This window comes from Homo sapiens, chromosome 3 (genome assembly GCF_000001405.40).
Source record: "Homo sapiens chromosome 3, GRCh38.p14 Primary Assembly".
NCBI lineage: Eukaryota > Metazoa > Chordata > Mammalia > Primates > Hominidae > Homo > Homo sapiens.
In genome coordinates this window covers 108,199,302-108,224,804 of record NC_000003.12, presented here as the reverse complement: position 1 = coordinate 108,224,804, position 25,503 = coordinate 108,199,302, and the positions used below count along the sequence as shown (strand labels likewise).

General features: G+C 36.1%; 1 protein-coding gene and 1 long non-coding RNA gene across 2 annotated transcripts in view, besides 4 other annotated features; one reads left to right on the top strand and one right to left on the bottom strand.

The window, feature by feature from the left end:
* Window positions 1-320: 320 nt before the first annotated feature.
* Window positions 321-2,200, bottom strand: LOC124909405 (uncharacterized). The gene is made up of 2 exons (XR_007095999.1): window positions 2,119-2,200; window positions 321-1,859 (listed from the first exon to the last, which is right to left on the bottom strand). It is a non-coding gene; the product is annotated as an uncharacterized LOC124909405 (long non-coding RNA).
* Window positions 2,174-2,467: a silencer, noted in NCBI's record as "fragment chr3:107941185-107941478 (GRCh37/hg19 assembly coordinates)". NCBI's record gives its function as "represses an EF-1alpha promoter that drives an FKBP-Casp9 reporter gene in an ReSE screen in HepG2 liver carcinoma cells {active_cell/tissue: HepG2}" and the evidence as "EXISTENCE:reporter gene assay evidence [ECO:0000049][PMID:32094911]".
* Window positions 2,174-2,662: a biological region, named in NCBI's record as "ReSE screen-validated silencer GRCh37_chr3:107941185-107941478".
* Window positions 2,381-25,503, top strand: part of IFT57 (intraflagellar transport 57) — a 61,613-nt gene continuing 38,490 nt past the window's right edge. The window contains exons 1-5 of the mRNA NM_018010.4: window positions 2,381-2,694; window positions 5,233-5,395; window positions 6,152-6,270; window positions 10,784-10,874; window positions 18,109-18,177. Coding sequence (NP_060480.1) covers window positions 2,483-2,694; window positions 5,233-5,395; window positions 6,152-6,270; window positions 10,784-10,874; window positions 18,109-18,177 — 654 coding nt within the window. The 5' untranslated portion in view covers window positions 2,381-2,482. The remainder of the gene's footprint in view (window positions 2,695-5,232; window positions 5,396-6,151; window positions 6,271-10,783; window positions 10,875-18,108; window positions 18,178-25,503) is intronic.
* Window positions 2,403-2,662: an enhancer, noted in NCBI's record as "active region_20217". NCBI's record gives its function as "activates an Ori minimal core promoter by ATAC-STARR-seq in GM12878 lymphoblastoid cells {active_cell/tissue: GM12878}" and the evidence as "EXISTENCE:reporter gene assay evidence [ECO:0000049][PMID:35858748]".
* Window positions 15,921-15,990: an enhancer, noted in NCBI's record as "active region_20216". NCBI's record gives its function as "activates an Ori minimal core promoter by ATAC-STARR-seq in GM12878 lymphoblastoid cells {active_cell/tissue: GM12878}" and the evidence as "EXISTENCE:reporter gene assay evidence [ECO:0000049][PMID:35858748]".

Genomic DNA, 25,503 nt, shown 5'->3' with positions numbered 1-25,503 from the left:
TGGCGAATACAGTAAAACCAGGGATGAAATTGAGATTTTACAGGAAGAATGAACATGGCTCATTCTCTTCAAGCTCTAACTCCTTAGTCAACAAATAAACTAGTCCTGCAAACCAAAACAACAAAAAAAAACCTGATACAACTGTATTCCCCAAAGTTTCCAAGTGGCTGAAACAGCTAGAAGAGGATTTGAGTGCATTTTCACACACACGAAGAAAACTATCAAGGAAAAGATCTTTTGATGTGTTACAAACTATTACAGGTAAACAAGGAATCAGCAAAAATAATCCCTGGGCTTTACAAAACAATGAAATTTCAGTGTTCTTTCTAAAACTTTTTATTGGGGAAACATGCAGTATTGAACAGTTAGCTTTTTTGTTCTCTTTGTGCCACAATTACTGGAAATACTTTATATTTTTGGGTTTTTTTCTTCTTCACAATTAAGGGGGGAAATTATTCTGTATACTGCTTTCAGGCCAGGCTGTGTCAGTATTTTACCTGGGAAGGAAATGGCTAAGACCCTGGGAGTCGTTTTGTTTCCCCCAAGTTAAAATACATACGTTGCTGGAGGATTTATCAGCTAAAAAGCAACGTTTGACTATTTCATACTGTGTTACGTAACTTCCTGAAAATGTCAGAACATCTTAAGTAGGCAGCATGCCTGGCAGGAACATCTCCCTCCCTGAGTGTAATAAATTTACTTCCAAAGTCTGAGAGCTTTTTCAGAGTCATGTAAAAAGCCCCAGTTTGCTTGTTAGTTAACTTAGGACCCCAAAACATATCTAAGCTTTCATTTTTCAGTCTTATAAAGCCATACATCTATCTTACACTACTGTGACTGTTATACATACATATAACACCCCCAAGCTGCACATGTGGTGGTGGTTGGGGTATGGACTTATCGGGGAGAATCACTGTTTCAAAAAGGCAAAGACCAGGAAAGATCAATTTGGTAGTGGGGTAACATCAAATCCAATTTTCTCACTCAACTTTATTAAAAGCAGCTGGCTCATGACTTGTGGTAGGCAAGCAATGTTATTTATTTAAAAAGCAATTCTCAGTGGGCTGCCCTTCAGGTTATTCTCTACATAAGTCTGTAATTTTATGTACTTCCTTTCTTTAATGAAAAAATGGTATTTGCCCTTCTGACTTTTCACTTTGATAACCTTATTAGTATCAGAAACAAGTTAGCTGTAGACGGATTACAATGAAAAGTGTTCTCATTTTTTCTAATAAAAACAGGATATTGTAGATACATTTCAAATTTCAGTTGTCCAAAAATGTAGCCCTTCTATATTTTGTAGTGGCAGATACAAGAGATCAGAGAGCCCTTAAAAGTCACGTTATAAACATGAACATATGTTCAATCTCTTGTACTAAGTTTTCTTCCCAAAAACTGCCAGGCATCCACCACTTACCTCATTTTTTGCAACTGTTAAGAAAATTGCCTAATACAGAAGCCTTTTGAAAACTGTAAAGCTGGGCCATTTCTGTGGTCAGTTATGTACCTTTTCTTAAATTTTCTAGGTCAATAACTGCAGAATACAGTAGTAACACCCTATCTTTAGCCACCCTTAGAGCTTTAGGGCAGGGAAATTCCTTTTAAGACCATCTCTATTCTGTTGGATTTAACGAAGTACCCAAACACTTTATACTACATGTAATGGGTTTGAAACAGATTAAGCAGCAGGATGGAAGCTTAGTATTCTTGTTTTTGAAGTAAAACAAATCCTTCCAAATGCCTCCTTTTGTTCATTGTCTTCCTCATCCTTCCAACCACTTTCCTAGCACTGGAGTAACAGCCAGGCAACGTAATACAGTACTTCAAGCTTTACAATATACTGTTAAGTGCAGCATTGCCTAGTGAGAGAAAGATAAAATTAAAGAAAGAACGAGAGAAACCTCTCGTTGGAAAGTTCCTGCAGTAAAAGTGAAACCTATGGTATTGACTATCTTTACAACTATGAAAAACTTTTCAATTCTGAGAAAATAAAGGTATCAGTGAGCCAGTGCAGCCTTCAGTGCTACACGTCTTCACCTCCCTTTAATCTTTTTAACAGCTACTAGCTGACCCAGATGCCCGCTTAATTGCTTTTAGCAACCACCAGGTCCAACACACCTCAAGCCAGCTCAAGACTCACTAGGCAAGCGGAGCAGAAACGTAAGCCGGCTCCCTTCAGACTTTCAGCGAGGGAGAAGACGCAGCCGGCAGTGGGGCGCGAACGCCACGCCTCCATGAGGGGCGGGGCTGCTTCCCGACCACCATTTCCACAGAGGCAGGGCAAGAAGAGGGCCACAGGTGACGTCATTCAGGAAAGCCGCCCTGATTGGAGGGAAGGAGGCGGAGTCTAGTTTCCCTGGTGACGGATTGTCCGGTGGTCGCCTGGTAACCGGTCGTGGCTGTACTGGCGGCGGCAGGGCTGGCGGCTTAGGCCGCAGAGGTCTGTGGGCCTGAGCCCACGCTGGACTCTGTCCGTTCTGCGATGACTGCTGCTCTGGCCGTCGTCACGACGTCGGGTTTGGAAGATGGGGTGCCTAGGTCCCGTGGCGAAGGGACCGGGGAAGTGGTCTTGGAGCGGGGGCCCGGCGCGGCCTACCACATGTTCGTGGTGATGGAGGACTTGGTGGAGAAGCTGAAGCTGCTCCGCTACGAGGAGGAGTTCCTCCGGAAGAGCAACCTGAAGGCCCCGTCCAGGTGGGTGCCGGCGTCCCCGAGCGCCCGGGTGCCTGCTAGCCCCCAGGGAGATGCCCTCCTTGGTCCTGCTGGGAACCAGTTTCGTGAGAGCGGGTTAGCAATTCCTTGCCTCCGTCTTCCTAGCCAGGGAAGGGCACTTCACCCCAAACTCCCGGGAGGTCCGTGGAGCTCACGCAGCCCTGACTTGGTATTTTTGTAGAGAGAATAAATAAGTTTTGGAACGGCAGAAAGGATCGGAAGACAGCTTGCCTGTTTTTTTCCAACACACACGCATTACCAGAAAACACAAACTATATTTTCTGATTGTAAAGATGAAACAAATACTCATTGAAGAAAACTCAGAAAAACACAAGTAAATGTCTAGAAAAATTATAAGACCGTCCAAAATTCGCCTCCAGAGAGGAATGCCATTATCACTTAAGGCTTTTTTTCTAGTTTGGGGTTTTTTGTTGTTGTTTAAGACCCTGTTCATACAACTGGGGACCGTGGGTACTTAGGATCCTGTTAAGGAGCACTTTAAATGCGGTTAGTAAACTTGTTAACTACTTGCTATGGTTTAAAAGACTTCTGCCTTTGTAATAACCATACTCTCAGAAACTGAAAAGTGGAAAAGACGAATGACAACTATTGAATTGTCCCCCTATCATAGAACCTAAAGTTTTACCCTTGTTCCGGTGGGGGAAAAGTCCAACATATCCTGAAAGCAATGCCATTACTTGCTGAGGGTAGTGGTCAGCTAGGACCTTCTCCTCAAATCACTGTAGCTTAGCAGTAGCCAGATAAATCAGTTTTATAGCTTTTCTTTCACTTTAATACTTACATTTGTATATTTTATTCCATAAAAGGCAATCAGTATTAAGAATCTATAGTACTTAATGTCTACAGCCAGGCTCAAATAATTTCCCTTGATAGTTTTAATCTCATTCCACTGCTGTCTTCCAATAACTTGAATTGAAAGATATGTAGGCTTGATATAAACTGTTCATATTAAATTAGTCCATGGTCGGAGAAAAGATAAAGGAAAAAGTAGTGTTGCTTGATCCATGTTAGAAAAGGTAGTCCTGGGATTATTACTTAAAGTGAATTGATCAGGATAATATAGACAACCAACATTTCCTATGTTAATAAAAATGCATTTTTTTCCAAGTATATTTTTAAAATGAAAACAAAATGTCCTTAAGGTTCTGTTGATGTCATCTCTTGCACTGTGTCCTCAGGGGTTCAGCAGGATACTTTGAATCATGGATTTGTGTGGGGATATCCTAGTCCAATGGTTCTCAAAATGTGATCACCAGACCAACAGCATCAGCATCACCTGGGAACTTACTAGAAATGAAATTCCTCAGGCCCTTTCCCAGGTCTACCTTTTCAGTAATTATAGGGATGGGGCCTAGCATCTGTTTCAGTAAGCCTTCCAGATGATTCTGATGGACACTAATGTTTGGGAACCACTGTCCTAGGTTTACAGTATCTATTGGTGTTCATTCCTCTGCCCTAGAAGAGTTATCTGCCGATAAGGAAAAGATGACTTTTTGGTGGGTGGGTGCTTTGAAAGGATAGTGAGCATATACCTGGAAGGACTTCATGGCCTTTTTTCTTCCCAGCTTTCTGTTATCTTCCAGAACATTTACATTTATCCTGCAGGAAAAAGTTTGGGAAACATGAAGGAGTACACGACAGATTTTTATGACAATGGTTATAATAGTTGTAAATACATTGTAAACATAATAATGATAGCTACACATGAACAAGACAAATAAGATCTTTGATTAAACTGACTTGAATGTTGTTGCTAGTGAGTTTTATTCCTATAATGTTTAGGTATAAATCATACTGATCCTCGTAGAACTGTGTTTAGTAGACTAGGGGATTAAGCAAGAGCCCACAGATGTTTGACTGGTGATGTGACATTCACAGGTTCTTAATCCTGACTACACCTTATAAACATGTAGAAATCTTTTGAAATATACCCCATACTGGGCCTACTTTCACTGAAGTTCTGATTTAATTCATTCATGAGGGAAGAAGCAATGTTTGGTCAAGTACCAGTATTTTTATTAGCTCCTCAGGTGATTGAATATGCAGCCAACATAGAAACAAATGTTCACCATAGGTGATAGGTTAGAAACAGTAAAAATGCATAATGAGTAATCGTTGAGGTCTTTTTTAAACTCTGAGGTTCTTCCAGATTACCATTTTCATTCATAAGGTACTTACATATTATTACTGACACTTAAATCATTTTGGCAAAAATTCTACATGCTCTGTGCTCTAACATGCACTACATTTCCTGGGTGTAAGGTCTTTGATCTAATATTTTGGGTACAGTAGTAATTGCCCTAATCCTGCTGATTTAAAAACTTCAATGTGAGTGCTGTGGATTACTGGAAACTTCAAAGGGTGAATTATCGAGGTCTTTTGATGGCCATTTGGGGGGAAGAAAGATTGTTGGACAATTGTGAATTCGGCCCTATTAGTTATTATAGACTTATTTGCATTATTTCACATCCGCCCCCATTCCTCCTTGTTTTGAAACAGACACTATTTTGCACTGCCTACCAACCCTGGCGAACAGTTCTACATGTTTTGTACTCTTGCTGCTTGGTTGATTAATAAAGCGGGACGTCCCTTTGAGCAGCCTCAAGAATATGATGACCCTAATGCAACAATATCTAACATACTATCCGAGCTTCGGTCATTTGTAAGTGTAAACGACCCTTCTTTTTCCTTGTTCTCAAGTTATGAATTTTAATACTGGTAATTTAATAACAAATGCTAGCCATTTAGATGACTCCTCTGTAAATATGAATTTATTTTTAGGTAAAACCTCCTTAAAATAGTTTACATTATAATGTTAATGTCACTTCTGAAAATGTTCAGTATATACTCTTTATTAGTCCAAAGTAATATTTTTTTAAAAAAATCTTGATATATCTGAGAGGTAAATTTTGGGGTGGTTAATTCTTGATCTAAAAAATGATAATTAAAAAAAAATCCTACAAAGCCAAAACACTTCATATTCTGAAAGGGAACTTGTACTTAAGACCATGACAGCAGTTGTACTTTTTCATTTCTGACTTTTCCTGGGCAGGCAGTAAGATATTTTTGGCACAAATGTTATTAATTTTTGACAAGTGAATCACTCTGTCCTTAAACATAGTTGTTTAAATAGTTTTACTGGTTTCTTTTCACTCTAATAAGATCAATAATTTGTTCTGCTGCTATGATGTTATTGCTTTTTAATTTGATACTTTTAACAATAAAAGTCTTTGAGTATTTTTATGTATCAATGGGTTACAAAGACTTGAAATGGATTTGTATGAAGCAGTGTAATTACAGTTATTGTAAATCATTTGAAAGAAAAGTGATACATCCATTCAGCAGTTCTTTGCTTAAAATATTTGACATTTGGAGTATAACTAACAAATAATACCCTGTTTTTTCTTTTGTTTTTCAGGGAAGAACTGCAGATTTTCCTCCTTCAAAATTAAAGTCAGGTTATGGAGAACATGTATGCTATGTTCTTGATTGCTTCGCTGAAGAAGCATTGAAATATATTGGTTTCACCTGGAAAAGGTAAAAATTACCCACCCTGATGATAGTAATTTTATGGGCATAGCATTTGCCTCTGAGGGTACAGAGCTGTTCAATTGAACATAAAAGAATTATTCTTTTTGACTATTCTAAATTGAAAATGCCACAGATAATTAAGAAAAGCCAGTATAGACAAAATTAGAATGTCTCACGTCTTCAAAACTAATTCTGAAGTAATGTGTTACATATTATTATGCCGTTTTCCTGTTCAAATATGTAATTATTAAAGGTTTAACTGTGACTACATATCTTTGTAAATACTGGACTTTTTTTTTAAAGTCTCTTGTACATATGTTCACACACACAAACATAGTATATACACAGAGGGAACTGATAGCTACAGATTTAAGGAAAAATGGAAATTAATACAGTACTTTAAGTGGGATTTTCTCCTTTGCTAGTAGTTACTGGGCAAGAATAATACTGAAGAAACTACCTGACACTCTCCTAGACATTGTTCATTGCTTTTGTGTCCAACCTGACAGTGCTTTATTTCTATTATTATATTATATTTATCCTATGGTATAAAATTGTTCTTTACTATTCTGACATTCTTGCTAGAAATCATGAAATCTTCACAAGTACTCTGTTAGCATAATGCTTGGTGTATCTTAGATGTTTAATAGATATTGAGCATATAGATGAAATAGAACATTTGGAAACTCAATTTATAGAGATTATAATTAGAAAACATAAATTTTATGCTTTGCAGTTTGGGATTACTAATAGGTTAGAATGTAGAAGGCACTATTCAGGTAAAATGCGAGTAAGCAGTGTTTTTTTTTTTTTAATTAGAACTAACTTCGGTAGAAAGATTATATACACACACACACATATATATATATTATTCCCTGTTAATAACATTTTAATGTATATTCAATTATATTCTTTTAGATATAATCTCCCTATTAAGTTTAATAACTTCCTTGAATTAGGTTATCATTGGGATGAGCCATATGAAATTACTCATATTCATCTATTTTTAAACTAAAAAATGGCAATTTCATATGCTTCAATCCAAACATTATTATTTAGTACAATATAAAGAATGGCTACATGGTCCATAATACTTTATTAAATTTCAAGAGAAGATAAGTTATGAGATGTGCTGCTGTATTTAGCATTTTAAAAAACTGCTAAATTAATAGACTAATATATTCTAAATTCACCAGAAGCTATGGTGTAATATCTCAACCACTATTCTATTTTGCACTTCCTTTGTTTCTCAACACATCTTATTCCTGGCCTCTGTATTGTAAGTTGGATAATTTATTTTTTAGTTTTAATTGGCACATAACTGCAAATTTTGGAGTACAATGTGATGTTTCGATACATGTGTACAATATACAATGATCAAGTTAGTGAAATTAACATATTCATCATTTCAAACGTTTATCATTTTATTGTGGCAAGAAAATTCCAAATCTCTATGAGCTATTTTCAAATATATATTATTGTTAATTAATATATAATATTGTGAACTGTAGTCACCCTGCTGTGCATTGAACACTAGAACTTATTCCTCCTAACTGTAACTTTGTACTCACCCACTTTGACCAACTTCTCCCTATTCTCCCTTCCCCCTACCCTTCCCATCCTATGGTAACCACTATTATACTCTCTACTTCTATGATATTTGTCTTTCTGTGCCTGGCTTATTTCACTTGACATAGTGTCCTCCATGCTTATACAGGTTGCTACAAATGACAGAATTGCATTCTCTTTTATGGTTGAATGGTATTCCACTGTGAAAATATACCACATTTTCTATTCAACCTTTGATGGATACTTAGGCAGATTCCGTATCTTGAGTATTGTGAATAGTGCTGCAATAAACATGGGAGTGCAGATATCTCTAACATACCGATTACATTTCTTTTGGATATATCATCAGTAGTGGGATTGTTGGATAATAGAGTAGTGCTATTTTTAGTTTTTTGAGGCACCTCCATAGTGTTCGCTATAGTGTCTGTACTAATAATTTACATACCTACCAATAGTGTTCAAGGGTTACCCCTTCTCCATATCCTCAGCAGCCTTTGTTATTTTGGGGGGCGAGGGGTTGGGTAATAGCCATTCTAACTGGGGTGAGATGATATCGTGGTTTTGATTTGCGTTTCCCTGATGATTAGTGATGTCAAGCATTTTTGCATATATCTGTTGGCCGTTTCTATGTATTTTTTGAGAAATGTCTATTAAGATCTTTTGCTCATTTTAAAAATTAGACTAGTTTTTTTGTTGTTGTTTTGCTATTGAGTTGCTTGAATTTCTTATACATACTGGATGTTAAGTTCTTGTCAGATGGGTAGTTTGCAAATATTTTCTCCCATTCTGTGGGTTGTCTCTTCACTCTTTTGATTGTTTCCTTAAGTTTGATGTAATCGCATTTGTTTATTTTTGCTTTTGTTGCCTGTGCTTTTGAGGTCTTATCCAAAAAATTCTTGCCCAGACCAATGTCATGAAGTGTTTTCTTCCACATTTCCTCTAGTAGTTTCAGTTTCAGATTGTATATTTAAGTCTTTAATCCATTTTGAGTTGGTTTTTATAAGTGGTTAGAGGTAAGGGTCTAGTTTCATTCTTTTGCATGTGGATATCCAGTTTCCCCAGTACTATTTATTTTTCTTTTTTTGTTTTTTAGCACCATTTATTGAAGAGACTGTGACTTGGATAACTTATAAGGACTATGTTTAAATGAGGAATAAAAGGAGGGAGCTGAAAAGTAGTCAACATTAGAGAATATGTCAGCTCTGTAACATGTAAATGAGATAGACGTTACATATAGATGAATTTTTTATATATCTAAATGTCAAAATGAATCCTAGAAGAACATTGCCTTTGAGATATTTTCGAATTCTAATTAATGAAAAATTAGGAAATTTATTATTTAAGATGATTGATTTAGTTCATAGTATTTTGCATATTAGTAAATGTTGATTTTTGTATTTTTTTAACATGATTGAGGCATGGGTTTTCGTTTTTAAGACAGGGTCTCACTCTGTCGCCCAGGCTGGAGTGAACCTCTGCCTGCCGGGCTCAAGCGATCCTCCCACCTCAGCCTCCCGCATAGCTGGGACTACAGGTGCACACCACCACTCCCAGCTAATTTTTTATTTTTTTTGTCAAGACAGGGTTTCACCATGTTGCCCAGGCTGGTCTCAAACTCCTGGTCTCAGACAGTCCACCTGCCTTGGCCTCCCAAAGTGCTGGGATTATAGATGTGAGCCATCACACCCAGCCAGGTACAAGTTTTTAATACAAGTTTTCTCTCTAGCTTTGTTACTGGATTAAAAAAAGGAAAAAAAATATGTTTTCATAAATAAGCCCAAATACATTTAAGTACTTTTAATATAGGAAATGTGTCATTAATCTTGATGAATAAATGATTTTTTTCAAAGTTTAATGTTAGGATCACTAATTAGATTTTGGAAATAAGAAGAAAGCTGGACTCCTTCTTATTACCTATGTTAAAATAAACTTCAGATTGATCAAAGATGTAAATATGAAAAGTAAAACTATAGAAGTATTAAAAGACCAGAGGAGTATAGAGGTTGTGGTATGACAGAAAGCCTCTAATATATGATGTTAAAGCTAGGGTCTGTGCAGGAAAAGGTTACCAACTCTATCTAAGAAGAACTATAACAATCTTGAATAGCCAAGATTATAAGTAATACACTAGGGGAACAATTTTTGAGAGGTTAGGCAAAACATTAATTTTCTTAATATACAAAAAGCCAAAAAGTAAATGGTATAAATAGACATTTCACCTAAAAAGAAGTGCAAATAAGCAATTAAAATATGACAAGATATTCAATCACTTTCATGCTAAAGAAATGCAGTTAAAACAAGAATGAGATTTTTTTTCACTTGGTTGATTGGCTAAAATTAAAGTTTGTATTATATATCATATTGGTGAATATATGGAGATGGAGTTACTCTCCTTCAGTATTGTTTGGAGTCTAAATTAGGGTAACATTTTGGAAGCCAATTTTGGCAGTATATAGCAAAACAATACTGTACAAAGTTGTTTACCCTGCCATTTCACTTGAACAAATTTATTCTAAATGGTATGTGTAATGATAAATGTACAAAGATGATCTTTGCAATATTGTCCAGCAAAATAATTAGAAACCTCTATGTTCAGTCATAGGCTGCCAATTACATTAATTATGGTATTGATTGTTCAATGAAATACAGTGCTTGTATGTAAAAAATAATGAGAAATACATATGTATTTAAATATGGTGTATTAGTGAGAAGCATTAAGTTGGATAACACCATGCATAGTATCATCTCATTTTTTATAAATTTGGAGATAAACACTTTTGCTTTTTACATAGAAAGTTTTAGGAAAAATACATGAAACATTTAACAGTGATTATGGAAGCGGAATGAAAAAGGACAAAACCTGGCATAGAGGACATGATATTTGCATTATGATTTTTTTGTCTTACTAAATATTAAAATTATCACCTCATGTTTAATCTTATTATTTTAGGCCAATATACCCAGTAGAAGAATTAGAAGAAGAAAGCGTTGCAGAAGATGATGCAGAATTAACATTAAATAAAGTGGATGAAGAATTTGTGGTATGTGTGTAGCTGAACTTTCTGTTCATTTTCACCTTTCGGCCACTTCCCATTCTCTTAATTTCCCCCAGACTTCCATTATCTGGAATATATTTTATTTCATTGTTTCTAAAGAAGAAAAGCTTTTAAATACAGTGCTGAGTATCATCATTTAGACCTTTGGTTAAGTTAATGTTTGTATTCTCTAATGATTGAGGTCTGAATTTTAGCAGAGGTTCTTGAACTGTTCAGGGAAATATATACCACTAGTTATATGAGTAAATACTTTATTAACCATTCATGATGTTAAATAGACTGTGACTAATAAAGAATTTAAAACAGAACAAAAGAATTTAGGATTAATAAATTCTGCTTTATACGCATACCATTCATTTCTAAGGAATTCCTTTATTCATCTACAATTAGGATGAGTAGGAATTTTTTAATGCTTTTAAATGATCAACATTATTTAAGTTGTTTGGCAGAATCTACAACTTTTTACATGTTTTACATGCCATCCATAGTGTGCAGCTAAAGATGACAGAGACAAAATAACTTTTTCTCAAGATAATTCTCAGAACTAGAATTAGATTGACCCTGGTATTTTAGGAAGTGTGCTTGTGATTTGAAGCAGAAATGGTTGGGGGAAAAAACAAACTTTATAGTATACAGCTGACCCTTGAGCAATGTGGGGGTTATGGGCATCGGCCCCCACACAGTTGAATATCCACATATAACTCTGGACTCCCAAAAACTTTACTAATAGCCTACTGTTGACTTGAAGCCTTACCAATAACATAAAGAGTTAACACATATTTTGTCTATGTATTATATACTGTATTCTTACACTAAAAGTAAGCTAGAGAAAAGAAAATGTTACTAAGCAAGCCATAAGGGAGAGAAAACATACATACTATTAAGTGGAAGTAGATAATCATAAAAGTATCTTCCCTGTCTTCATATTGAGTAGCCTAAGGAAGAAGAGCAAGAGGAAGGGTTGGTCTTGTTGTCTCAGGGGTGGCAGAAATGAAAGAAAATTTGTATTTAAGTGGACCCATGCAGTTCAAACCCGTGTTGTTCAAGGGTCAACTATATTTTGCTGTCATAAACCAATTAAAATTTTTAGGTGATTTTTAAAATCAATAGATAATTAGTTTAAAATAAGTAAGTAATTGAAGTTTGGCATTGAGGTTAGTATAGTATAGTATTTAAGTTAGTATATGCATAATTTTAATAGCAAATGCTGAAAAATAACTATTAAATAGATTAGATGCTATCTGAATAGAGTATTATATAGCCATTTGTATTAGTCCATTTTGTGTTGCTGTAAAGGAATACTTGAGGCGCTGGGTAAGTTATAAAGAAAAGAAGTTTATTTTGGCTCACAGTTTTGCAGACCATACAAGAAGTGTAGCACCAGCATCTGCTTCTGGTGAGGGCCTCAGGAAGCTTACAATCATGGTAAGACAAAGTGGGAGCAGGCACCTCACATGGCCAGAGAAGAAGCAGAGGAGGGGAGAAGGACCAGAGACAGAGGAGGGGACATATATCCAAACTATATCACCATTGAAAATTGTTGGGTGGGCATGCTGGCTTATACCTGTAATCCCAGCTCTTCGGGAGGCGGTGGGAGGATTGCTTCAGGCCAGGAGTTTGAGACTAACCTGGGCAATAGAGTGAGTCCTCATCTCTACCAAAAGGAAAAAAGAAAAAAATGCCAGGCATGGTGATTGCTTCAGGCCAGGAATTTGAGACCAACCTGGGCATTATAGTGAGTCCTCATCTCTACCAAAAAAGAAAAAAATGCCAGGCATGGTGGTGCATGCCTGTAGTCCTAACTACTCAGGAGGCTGAGGTGGGAAGATCGCTTGAGCCCAAGAGTTTGAAAGTGCAGTAAGCTGTGATCATGCCACTCCACTACAGCCTGGGTGACAGAGCAAGACCCTGTCTCTACAAAAAATGTTTACAAAGTTTACAAAGAAAAATACAAAGTTACTGACATGGGAATGTAACTTATACTATATGCTATAAAATTAACTGAGATGATTCCAAATTTTATGTTGATATAACATTAACTATGTAAAATACGTTAAAAATAAATATATTAGCATTAATTATGGGTAGGAGAATTATGGATGATTGTTTTCTATGCTTTGTATTTTTAAGGTTTTCAACATGTATTTTTAACAGCAATGTAAATAAACATTATTTAATATATGTAAAAAAAGATGACTGTCATTTACAGAAGGAAAAAGACCATTGTAAAACTTATCAGTTTAAAAGATGTTTTTTAATGTGATGGATTTTAAAGGTCAAGACAAAGATATATTCATTCATTCTGCATATACTTATTGAGCACTTGTTATGTAGCAGGCAGTGGCCAAGGCCCTGACTGTGTAGCATGTGCCAAAGCTTTGAAGGCAGAAAGAAACTTAGCATGATCAAGGAACTTAGAGAAAACTACTGGGGCCAGAGCTCCTAAGTGAGGGGGAGGGTGGCATAAGATTAACTGGGAAGATAGACCAAGTTCAGATTGTTTTGGGCATGAAAAGTAGTTTAGGCTTTATTCTTTGTGTAACAGATCTTTCCGTTCAAGCTCAGAAATTAAGTACTCATATATTCCTAGTTGTTCACCTTATTTATTCCCTCATCTTGTCGTCTTAATAACTATTTAATAGTTATGAATAGTTTATGAACAGATACCTGGTTCTAGTACATTAACATTTAACTTCAAAGGCATATAACTAAGAACTGCTAGTCTGAGGAATAAAAAACAAACCCACTAGTCAGGAGGAAAATATCTGCAAGCGCAGAAACCATGTGTAATTTTTCTTATTGTTGTGTCTCCAGCTTATTGTGCAGGGCCTGGTGCATAGTACATACTCATTAAATATTTGACCATAAAATCAAACTATCGGCACATCGTTGTATAACATTTAGAAACTATAGCTCATTTTAAAGCTAGGAACCCTTTAAAGTTCAAGGCACCATGATTGGGGGTGTGAATTTAGAGAAATATACTGGAAAGCAGCCTCTTCACACATTTCTTCCCAGCCATGAGGTAAAGACCTTCTACTATCATAAGAGCAAACTGAAGGCCTTCCTCAAAGGGGTTGGCCCTGAGGCTATTCATTCCCTTGCATCAAGTCTCTTGAATTTCTTTTCTTCTTTATTGTCATCATATTATTCTAAGGAGCCCTCTTTTACTTCTACTCCTCTCTTTAAGGAGGACTGGGTCACCACCAAGAAGACTTTTGATGGTGGGATAACATGATTCTGTTGTCTGAGTTTGTGGCGTTGCTCAAGGATGGTAAAGGTTGGCCAGGTGTGGTGGCTTACACCTGTAATTCCAGCACTTTGGGAGGCTGGGGTGGGCAGATCACTTGAGGGTAGGAGTTTGAGATTAGCCTGGCTAACATGGTGAAACCCCATCTCTACAAAAATACAAAAATTAGACAGGCGTGGTGGTGTGTGCCTGTAGTCCCAGCTACTCGGGAGACTGAGGCAAGAGAACTGCTTGAACCCGGGAGGTGGAGGTTGCAGTGAGCCAACATTGCACCACTGCAGTCCGGCCTGGGCAACAGAGTGAGACTCTGTCTCAAAAAAAAAAAAAAAAAAAGATTATTTCTGACAGTCAAAGTTCTGCTATAATCATCTAGAAACTAGAAACTTTTAATTTTGAACTGCCCATATCAAGTTAGGACACATTAATAATTATTTTTATAAATATGTTGGGGTCATAACACAAAATATTCCCGCCTATTGTATGTAATCATATCCATAGTAATTGGCAGTCAGAATTAAGAAGGCATATTAGACAAATAGTAGGAAATTTTTGAGTGCCTTCTGAATTACTGAGATTAGAATCCTATTGTATTCTAATAGTTTACAAAACAATTTTCTAAGCCTGTTTACATTTGAATTCCTCTTGAATGCTCTCTTAATACTTAGTAACTTAATCCTTTTTCTATGAATTAGTTTGAGTTCTTCAGAGGAATAGAACCAATAGGAGGTACACACACACACACACACACATATAGAAAAAGACTAAGGAATTGGCTTACATGGTTCTGGAGGCTGAGAAGTCCCAAGATCCACAGCTATCAAGCCGGAGACCCAGAAGAGCTGATGGTAGTCCCAGTTTGAGTCTGAAGGCCTGAGGACCAGGAGAGCTGAGCTGATAGTTTGTTTCAGTCTGAGTCAGAAGGCAAGAGAAGACTAATGTCTTTAGTGACAATGAGGCAAAGATAATACATTCTCTTTCTCAGCTTTTTTGTTCTATTCAGCCCTTCAGTGGATTGAATAAAGCCCATCCGCATTGGTGATAGCAACCTGCTTTACTCAGTCTACTGATTCAATTATTTTTCGCATCCAGAAACACCCTCATAGACACACTCTGAATAATGTTTAACCAACACCAAGGCACCTTGTGGCTCAGTCAAATTGACACATAAAATTTACCATCAAAAGTCGACCCCTTGTCAACTTACCATCCATGTACATCTTCTTAAACCATAATCTTCAAATAAAGACCATACATAGCATGGTTATAATTTCATCTAATAGAATGTAACTGCTCTGCATACAACAGATGTTGCTCTAATTCCTTCTCCACAAGAGGAGATAAAGTCCATAAGTGATATTTACTCTTCTCCCTGATATCACTTAAATATTATAATATTAAAAGTAATAATACTTAAATACTGTGATATAAAGTCAGTACATCTATGTTACATGATAAGGGAATAAGAGTAAAGAAAACAAAAATACATACGAATATATTCATAACAATTAGGAAATATTCATAACAATCACAATTCTCATTTCTGTAACTGGTCACATGCTTGTAGTTTGTGTTTATAACTACCATCTTTCACTACCTATTCTGTATTCCCCTTGCCTTCAGTAAGCACCTCAGCTGGTTTCAGTTCTTTACCTGGTGGGGTGACTCAGACCTTTATTCCTGAAGTGTCTGGGCCATTAAGTAGACCTGCCTGGATTTGGTTGTTGTAGTTTTCTGTTGATTTTTAGTCACAGGGCATGGTAATACCATGCCTTAAAGGATCTCCTGTATTTTAGAATACTCTTCCTTCCATTTTGGAGTAGTCCAGTGTCCTGTTAATAGGATCAATCATGCCAGCCAGTACAGTAATTGCCTTCTTTGCCATGTTGATTCAGAGGTATGAGGAGCCCAAAGTGGCCAGGTAGCAGTCTTAATTTCTGTTCAATCAAATCATTGTTGTATCTTCTGGTTGAAGAATTCTTCCTTTTGGAACTAAGACCTCTAGGCCAGCAAAGCATAAGGTCATGGGAACAGGAAGCAAGAATTTTGCTAGTGGGCTACTAGGGGTAATAGCAAGTGGTTCCACTCCATTTCCACCCCTTGATTCCTGGACCTGTAAATCCTGGCTGTAGGAGAAACAGCACCATATATTGGTTGCTGATTCATTCTAGTAACTACTATTAAAGCTTTTTACCTATTGGTGTTCAGTCCAGTATAGTTTAAGAAGTATCTATTGATTGCTTATGTAAACAGTACTGATCAGGTTATTGTAAAAGCATTAGAAACTTGTCTCTTCTCCCATGAGCATTGAGTCATTGACATTTGAATCATTTACTCTGGTTGTTAAGTAGACTCTTACTAGTGCAAACATAGACTAGACTAAGCCATTTGACAAAAGTGTATACCTCTGCTTCAGTTTTAAGATATAAAGTGATCACTTTTGTCTGCACTTCTGTCCTACTACCCCACTCTAAAAAAAGTAAATGTCACTTGAGTGTATAGAATCTACATTTATGTTGTTTCCTATTTTACTAAAATCTTTCTGGTTTTCCAAGGTTTAGCATAGTTCTCATAGCTTACCTTAGTTGCCCCACCCCTATAGTTGCTTTTTTTTTTTTTTTCTTTTGAGACGGAGTCTCGCTCTGTCGCCCAGGCTGGAGTGCAGTGGCACAATCTCGGCTCATTGCAAGCTCCGCCTCCTGGGTTCATGCTATTCTCCTGCCTCAGCCTCCCGTGTAGCTGGGACTACAGGCGCCCGCCACCACGCCCGGCTAATTTTTTGTATTTTTAGTAGAGACAGGGTTTCACTGTGTTAGCCAGGATGGTCTCGATCTCCTGACCTCGTGATCCGCCTGCCTCGGCCTCCCAAAGTGCTGGGATTACAAGCGTGAGCCATCGCGCCCGGCCAACCCCCATAGTTTCTGAGGAGATATGGGATAGAGCCTTAGAATTTGCATTCTAAGGAGTACCTAGGTGATGCTGATACTGCTGCTCTCAGAACCATACTTGGAGAACCAGTATCTTACATATTTATAAATTGTTGAAGTTAAGAATTATCTTTGAAATCTACTACAGCTTTGTATAGTTCTACATATGGAAGTGTTCACCAACTGACATTCTCTTTTTTCCTTATAAAATCATGACTTGAGGACCCAGTTCCATTGGCTTTATTATCGTGTCCTTAAGGTTGAAATATCCTTGTTAAATTTTTGTTACTTACTATGGCACTTGTCACCACAAAGACATATGAAGAAAAGGGGAGCTCATGTTTTGTCCTACATGCTCATAGAACCTGCTCAGACTCCATATTTACTGCATATTGGGGAGGGAGTTGGCTCTCAAAGGGTCACTTTCTACCCCTGCCCTCTACATCCAATTGGTCTGCAGATAAGGATTAGCTCGGCATCCACCTATACTATCCTTTTTAATAGATTTAAGTACCATGGACCAACCAGTACTGGTAACCATTATTTTATCAAGCTTGAACATACCAGAGATGAGATGTCAAAAATATGTATCAATGTGATTGGTCAGAGAAAGTGAGAATATTCTCTGTCAGCCTCTCATTTTTGTCCATTTCAGTTATATTGCTCAAAAATATCCATTAATTCCCTCTATTTATACCAAATATGCCAGCCACTTGGGTTTGTTTCTTGCCCTGTTTTTATATTTATCTGTAGTTCTATAGCAATGGCTCCCTTCCTTTCCCTCCCCCAGTTTTTTTCCTTTCTTTATTGACTACAAAAATGGTTCTATTTAAGTAGTAGTACCATCAAAACCTCAAAAAACAGATGAACTGTTAATAATATTGTGCCCTACTTTATGCACACGTTCACTAGGCTTTTAAATACCCTTTTCTACACTAGTCTTTATATCAAGCTTAATATAGCTTAGTATAGCATATAGGTGGAAACTGGAAATATATTTTTTAATTATAATTTTTAATAATTTTTTAAAAATTTATTTTCTAAGGAAGAAGAGACAGATAATGAAGAAAACTTTATTGATCTCAACGTTTTAAAGGCCCAGACATATCACTTGGTAAGTTTCATCAGATACATGCAGGACCAACAAGCAATCAATGTACATGTTCTGCTGGAAATTTAAATGAGTAGAAACCGTTGTTGGCCATTGTTTTGTATGCTGTTTCAAAAGTAGCTCTCAAAATTGCTTTCCTATATATAAAATGTTATAATTATAGCAAATATAAAAATCCAGAGGAGTGAGTGAGGCAGCCTCCTGTCTGTATTATGGAAAATTGACATAGTGCTACTCATGCAGACTGAAAATAATTTGCCTGGTGACATATTTTATTATGAAAAGACATCAAATATTCTATTTCAAGTTATTTTCCATTTTAATAGGCCAAGATTTAATGATCTTGATTATAGGAAAATATTTAAATTGTAGCTCTTTAAATAAAATGGATTAAGACTGGTAGGTATATGAATAAGTAATCAGACATTGCTTTAAGTCTGTTTTAATTATGAAATAAATCTAATCTATAAAAGTACATATACAATGAGATATTTCAGATATATATTTTTACATTCACCATATATATTATATATCAATATATATTATTTATATATAATATATTATTATATATAAATAATATATAATATATATTATAAATAATATACAATATATTATATATAAGTAATATATAACATAAATATATTATATATTATATATAAATATATAATATATTTATATATTATAAACTAATATATTTATATATTATAAATAATATATATTAATATATAATTATGTATTATAAATATATTAATATATAATAAATATGTTATATAAATATATGTTAAATTAATTAAATAATATATAAATAATATATAATATGCTATAATATTTTGTATATTATATAATATGTTATAATATTTTATATATTATATAATATGTTATATATTAATCAAGGATATATACCTATTGTACCCTCAAAAAGTACATATGGAAAGTAATGCTCTATTAGTCCTTTATTTAATTTTTCTTATCTGAATCCTCAAGACAAGTTTGGATCTAGTTTTGGTTTCATATCATGAAGATTTCCTTGACTACCCCTCCCCAGGATGATCTTTGTATTTATAATAATGAGGATTAATAATACTAAGGCATCAATACTGCCTTAGTATTATTAATCCTCATTGATGCCTTAGTGATATTAATCCTCATTAGTTATTATTAATGATGCATATATGTGTCTGTGTTTTCTGCCCAACTTGAGATGTAATATAACGTTGTGGTCAACTTGCCTCAGTGTGTGACTTTACTCTAATACTTACTAGGATTCCAGATTTGGGCAAGTTTCCAAACTTCTTGTGCCTCATCTTCTTAAGCTGTAAATGAGATAAAAATATTACCTTTACCTTTGTCATAGGGTTTTTGAAAATTAAAGGAGTTACTACATGTAAAACACTATAATAATATCTGTCACATAGAAAGTACTCAGCACTGGCAAAAACCAAAACCACATCTTTCCTCCATATTTCCCCGTCTGAAATCTGATTTGTAAGCTCCTTGATAACGGAGATAGCTATCCTTTTTAATATTCCCCATAGTGTAACACAGAAGGTACTGAATAAAAACCTCTTAAATGAATGAAGGTATTTTTTATTGATCAATTGAAAATATATCAGAATAATATGTTAAAATTTAAATCTAAACTCCAGTTATATCAATACCTTACATTTGCAGATCGTTTTGTAGTTTTCAAGTACTTTAAAACACATTTCTTTACTGACCTTGTAAAGTATTTGGGTAGATGTTATCTCCATTTTACAAATATAAACACTGAAATTTATAACCTTGGGACAGTTTAATCTTTTAAGAAGCTAATAAGTCACAGTACCTGAATTTAAACTGCTTCTCCAAACTCCAAGTCTATTGCTTTTTCCGCTTTACCTCATAACAAGAGTTGAACAAGGTGTAGATATGTTTTGATTCCTGCCTTTAGCAAGTTGTAATTAGTAATGTTGGTGTTTACTTAATGTGTGTGTTGGAGATGATGATGACCGAGTGCTCCTCAAATGTGAGAAGAAAAATAAAAGTAGAGATGCACACAGTTATTCTTGGAAAGAAACTGTTGTTTGTGTTATTCATTCTTATATTGATGGTGTAAACAGAGAACTGTGAAGGCCACCTGGGATTCCTTCTGGACAAAGTAGTTTGAGTACTGAGAAGGAGCAAAGTAAATTAATTTGCTTCTGCCAGTACACCAATTCCTTATTGGTCCTGATTTCAATTTTTCATCGCAAACTACATGAGGAAGGGTTTTTCCAAATGGTGTTTTTGTAAATTATCTAAGTATTAGATTCTTTGGACAAAAATTATATAACATAACTCCTTTAGAGCTAAGACTATGTATAGTTGTATTTCCACAAGAGGAAGAAGAGTGAACACCAGGTGTTTGTGGATGGTCAACCATGGAGTACTAATGAGGCAGAAAACCCTTTCATATTTTAAAAAACCTGGCAAGCTCATGATATTGCCCACTAAAGCCATCTGCCTGAGACAGCTGTGTCTGACTACAGCTTATGATGGTTTGGGCTGCTCTTTCCCCAAGACAAAATTGCTATATAGGTTAGTATCATAGATTTAAGATTTTATGTCTCATGCAGCAGGTGGACTCACAATGCAGAGGAAATATTATTTTAGGAAAGTTGAGCATGATGAATTCTTCACTAGAACAAAAACAATACATACTGTCAAGGAAAGTGACTTTCTAAATGTATATGTGACTGTGCAAGCCCAGCCGTGTGTGGATTGCCGCATTTTCTCCCTGTCTATGGTTTTAAAACAATAAGATGCTTCTCCAATCATTCTCTGTCCTCTCACCCACCCTACTTTATTTTTCCTCACAGACCCTGGTATTGCATTATATTTATTAATTACTGATTTATTTTTTCTGTCGCAACCACTGGAATGCAAACTCCACTGGAGCAGGAGCTTTTTCACTGCTTTTTTCACCAGTGTCTTGTATGTAGGAGTTGCTCAATAATCAATAATATTGTATGAATACATGCCTGAATATGTGCTATTTTTGTACTTATGGTTTCATAGGCAATTTTCATAGAGAAAAGAACTTACTGACAATAATCATATCCTCTTCTGTGTACCATGTGGGCTAATGCAGGGAGAAATTACCTATATTCCTTCCTTTCATTAAATAAAGTGAAGTCTAGACCTTGAGAAGCATGCTCTTTAAGTATCATGATAATCCCAAGAGTTGTACCTACACAAGCATATTCCTGAGATTTGCAGTAAAATGAAGTGAGAATGCAAATGAAAAAGACATGTCATAAGCAGGTTGTGTTCTCTGGATGCAAACACTGAGACAGTTTGGAGTGCAAGATGTTTATTAGAAATAGACACATGTGAAAGGAAGGGAGAGGAAAGCAGGATTGGGCAGAGGGAGAAGTCATGCTGTGATACGGGCCTGACAAAGATTGGCCAACCTGGTAGAGTCAAGTGTTGCCTGCTTAGCTCACCCCCTGGAGGCCAGTTGCCCTGGGAAGGGCATACTCCAGGTGAAATGGCTCTCTGCGGAAGCTGACAGCAGGAGACTGTCTGCTGGCCACATTCTCTGAAGCTCAGCAGCAAGATCTTCCTTGAAAGAGGTCCTGGTGACCCATCTTCCTAATTACCACAGCATAGTTGAAGCCTGTAACTGCTAACTTGAAGAATTTGTAAAGAGATACCATCTGCCCATTGACTAAATTTTAAATGTCTGCCTAAGTGGATCATGACACAGCAGTAGTTTCATGAACACTGAAAAAGATATGTTCCTCCTACTGATGATGAATGCTTATAACAATGACATTGGTTTGTTTTGGAATGAGTTGCTTTTCAGAACATTTATTTGAGGTTTAAAAAATATATTTAAAGTCATTCTGTGTGATTTTCCCCTCTAATTCCCTTACCCCAATTATGATTTTGCCAACAACTGCAATTAGTGAGGCATTGCTTCATCTTCCACCATTTCATTTGTAATTTAATTACTTGAATTTTCAGATAGCTTTTCTTAGAAGGAAAGCATTACGAATGGATATTAGGCTTCAAGGCTAATCCACAGAATTCCACGTTCTTTATGTCCCTCTGATTCCTGAGTGTTCTTGAAATCTGAAATTTAGCCAAAGCTACCCTAAGAGTGGCCATGAGAAAGGACACTGGTGCCGAATTAAAGTTCTGACAGTTGGGCTGGGACTGTGATGTTTAGAAGTATAGTAGAATATTCAGCGCTGTAGGGAGTGGGAGCAGGAAAGGAAGACTCTAGTGATGAGGTGGTAGCAAGGTGTGCTAGTCATTTCCATTTCTAATTTGCATATGTCAGTTGGGCACTGCTTGCATGTTCACAGTGGCTATGCCGTAATTATGAGTAGTCTTTGTATCTCCCTTCACCCTTGTGAAACTCAACAGAATCACGGCAACAGCCTTCTGGCAGCATAATGCAGATGTGTCATTCTCCTCCCGCAGTGAAAAAAAGAGGAGAGGGAGCTGTGCACTCTCTGAATTCTATTTTTAAATGCCCATCACTTCATTTCAAAACATTTTTTCATACATGCCATAGATACTATTCTTCCTTGAGATGCTAAATTTGAGGTTTTGGAAACCAAATCCTGAGTTACACAGTGTAAAACCAAGTATCTCAAAAGGTTTAAACACAATTGGTTTTTAATTACTTAGCAAGAAATTCATTATACCAAGTAAGAATGAGAGACTTTTTAGCTTAAAAGGCAAATGCTGAAAGGAAGTAAAAATATGGTCTTAGAGTAAAAATGTCATTTCAGATTTAGTTTAGAGTTTCATCTAGGCAAAACTGCAGTATTGTAATCAAAGAGAGGAAGAAGATGGATCTTTTTTGGTTAATATCTTAAATACTTTAATTTTTTTAATTTTACATATGTTTTATATTTTTCTTTTAGATAAAATATTCTTACTGAGTAATCTAGGAGAAAAAACTGTTCTATGTACAGCTTGCCCTATCAGTTGCCATTAATTTTTGATTCCTGCTTAAGGAGAATGTTTTTTTCCTCTGCTTTCCTAAAACAGTTGAGTGTTAGGCCTCCTATCTGTGTTATGAGAGAAGTCTATGGTTGGTATTTCACAGGAGAAATTAAAATGCCACATGTTTGAGTGTGATGGGACACATTATGACTGAGTAAATGCTTTTATTTCTGTGGTAACTAACCCTTACCACCCCCATCAGTTTTACATCTGGAGGTGAATAGGAAATGTGGGCTAGAGAAAAAAGCTCTGCTTCTCACTGCTCAGTGGAGGCTCAAATGGCACTTCTTGCTGGGTGTAAAAGACAGTTTTGCTTGATCTTCAGTGTAGCTTTTCAACCCACTTTTGAAATAAGAGAGATCTTTATTTTCTTCTTGGTTTCATTGTGGGCCTAGCAAAAAGTAGGAAGCAAGGACTTTTCAAGGTCCCTTCCAGATCTGAGTCCATACCTTCAAGGTAGATTCAATGGCAGAAATAGCAGCCCGAGATGAATTCCTGACTCTGTGTCACTCGCCACATGACCATAGCAAGTTAATTAACTTCTATGACTCTGCTTTCTTATCTGGGGATGGGGCACAAATAATTCTACCCAGTCTTGTTTTGAGATTATTATAACCTAACCTGTGGACAGTACCTGACATTGTGCTGGCATAGAGTATGGGCTTCATGCATTTCTTATTTTGTATAATTTTTTACCTTTCCTAGAAACTGGAATTAGTTCTCAACATTCTTATGTGCCATAGAAGACTAGGAAAAGCCCCAGTCTCTCAATACAAAAAGTCCCTAGATTGTCATGAGTATTTTTGAGTAAGATACTTACATAGGATATAAGTTATCAAGAAGCTTGCATTTCTATGTAAATTGGGAAGCCCTGGTGATGTCATGGCTTTATTTTCATAATCTGTCACGTGGATTATTATTGAAGGCCCACTAGACTAAATTTGCTGTCACACAAGATCTCCCCTACAGAAATGACTCAAGGAGATCTGATGAAAAGTAATATAATGATTTTTTTAGGTATTATTTGAGAGCTGTCATTCTATAAATAGGTAGGTTATAGTTCCTTCCATCAACACTAGTAGCAGATATTTATTATATAATTCAATATATTAAATGGGTACCAGACTATATACATTTTTTCAGTCTTCTATAACTTTGTATTTTTTAAACCCACCCATCTCTCAAACCCTCATCACCACTTACCACCTACCCCTGGCAATGTTAGTGCTTTGAATATATGTCTGATTCATCTTTACCCAGGCCATCTCGGTAGTCATTAAGACCCGTGGATGCTGCCTTTGAAACATCTCCCATATCCATCCCTTCAGCTGTCTTGCAAGGCCATGTTCTTTTCATCACCTGTCTGGATTATATGACAGTAATGCTCTAAATAGTCTTTGGTCTTCCTCTTTCAATCCCACCCCCACTCTTTGTCACAATATTTTTCACCCTGCTACTCTGTCTGACTTACTGAAACATGGCTATTACAGGTCATTCTGAATTCAATGATTGATGGCTTTCATTGCCTACAGGTCCATTTATATAGAGTGTAGAGCAATAAAATTTTGATCTGGCTTTCAAGACCCTTAGCAATTTGACTGTTGTCTACACAGCTAACCTCATTTTCTTCTACAAACCCTTTATTCCAGTTAAATGGGTGCCCTCATAGGCTTTCAAACACCTTGTGAGCATATCTGCTCCCATCCAATGCTTCTCTTTCCTATTGTCTCTTTTCTAAAATACCTTCCCACTGTCTCTCTACCTGACTCAAATGTTCAAGGTTCAGCTCAAATTCTATCTCTTCTATCTCCTAAGTGACACTTCCCTTATCACCTTGCCCCATTTAGTCCCACAGCAAACCCAAAAATCTACAAAAACCCATAAATCTATAAAACATAACTAGCATGTTTTATTCGTGAGGATTATTGTTTTAGTCACTATTCCTGGACTGTAACAGTATGTGGAACATAGTGGGCACTAAGTAAATAGTTGTTGGATAAATATTAATAAATACAGTGATTGCACCTTGCCTATAACTTCTTGGCTTCTTTTCTGGCTGGAGGACAAAATTCATATTCCTTACCTTAGATTTGAAGGTCTTTCACAATGTACTTAACTCTTTTTTCCTCCCCAGTATTCACCTTTTTAAGCCCCTAGACTCTTTTCTCATTTTGATCTTCACAAGTTATATTCATTCCTATTTCAGTTTTTTGGCTTATGCCGTTTTCCTCACTGTAAACACTTGGCTTGTCTCTTTTCTGCCTGTCTATATTCCCATACATTCTTGTTAGGCTAAACTTAAAACTCATTATTGCATTAAAACATACTTGTCTTTCTCATTCAGACTCC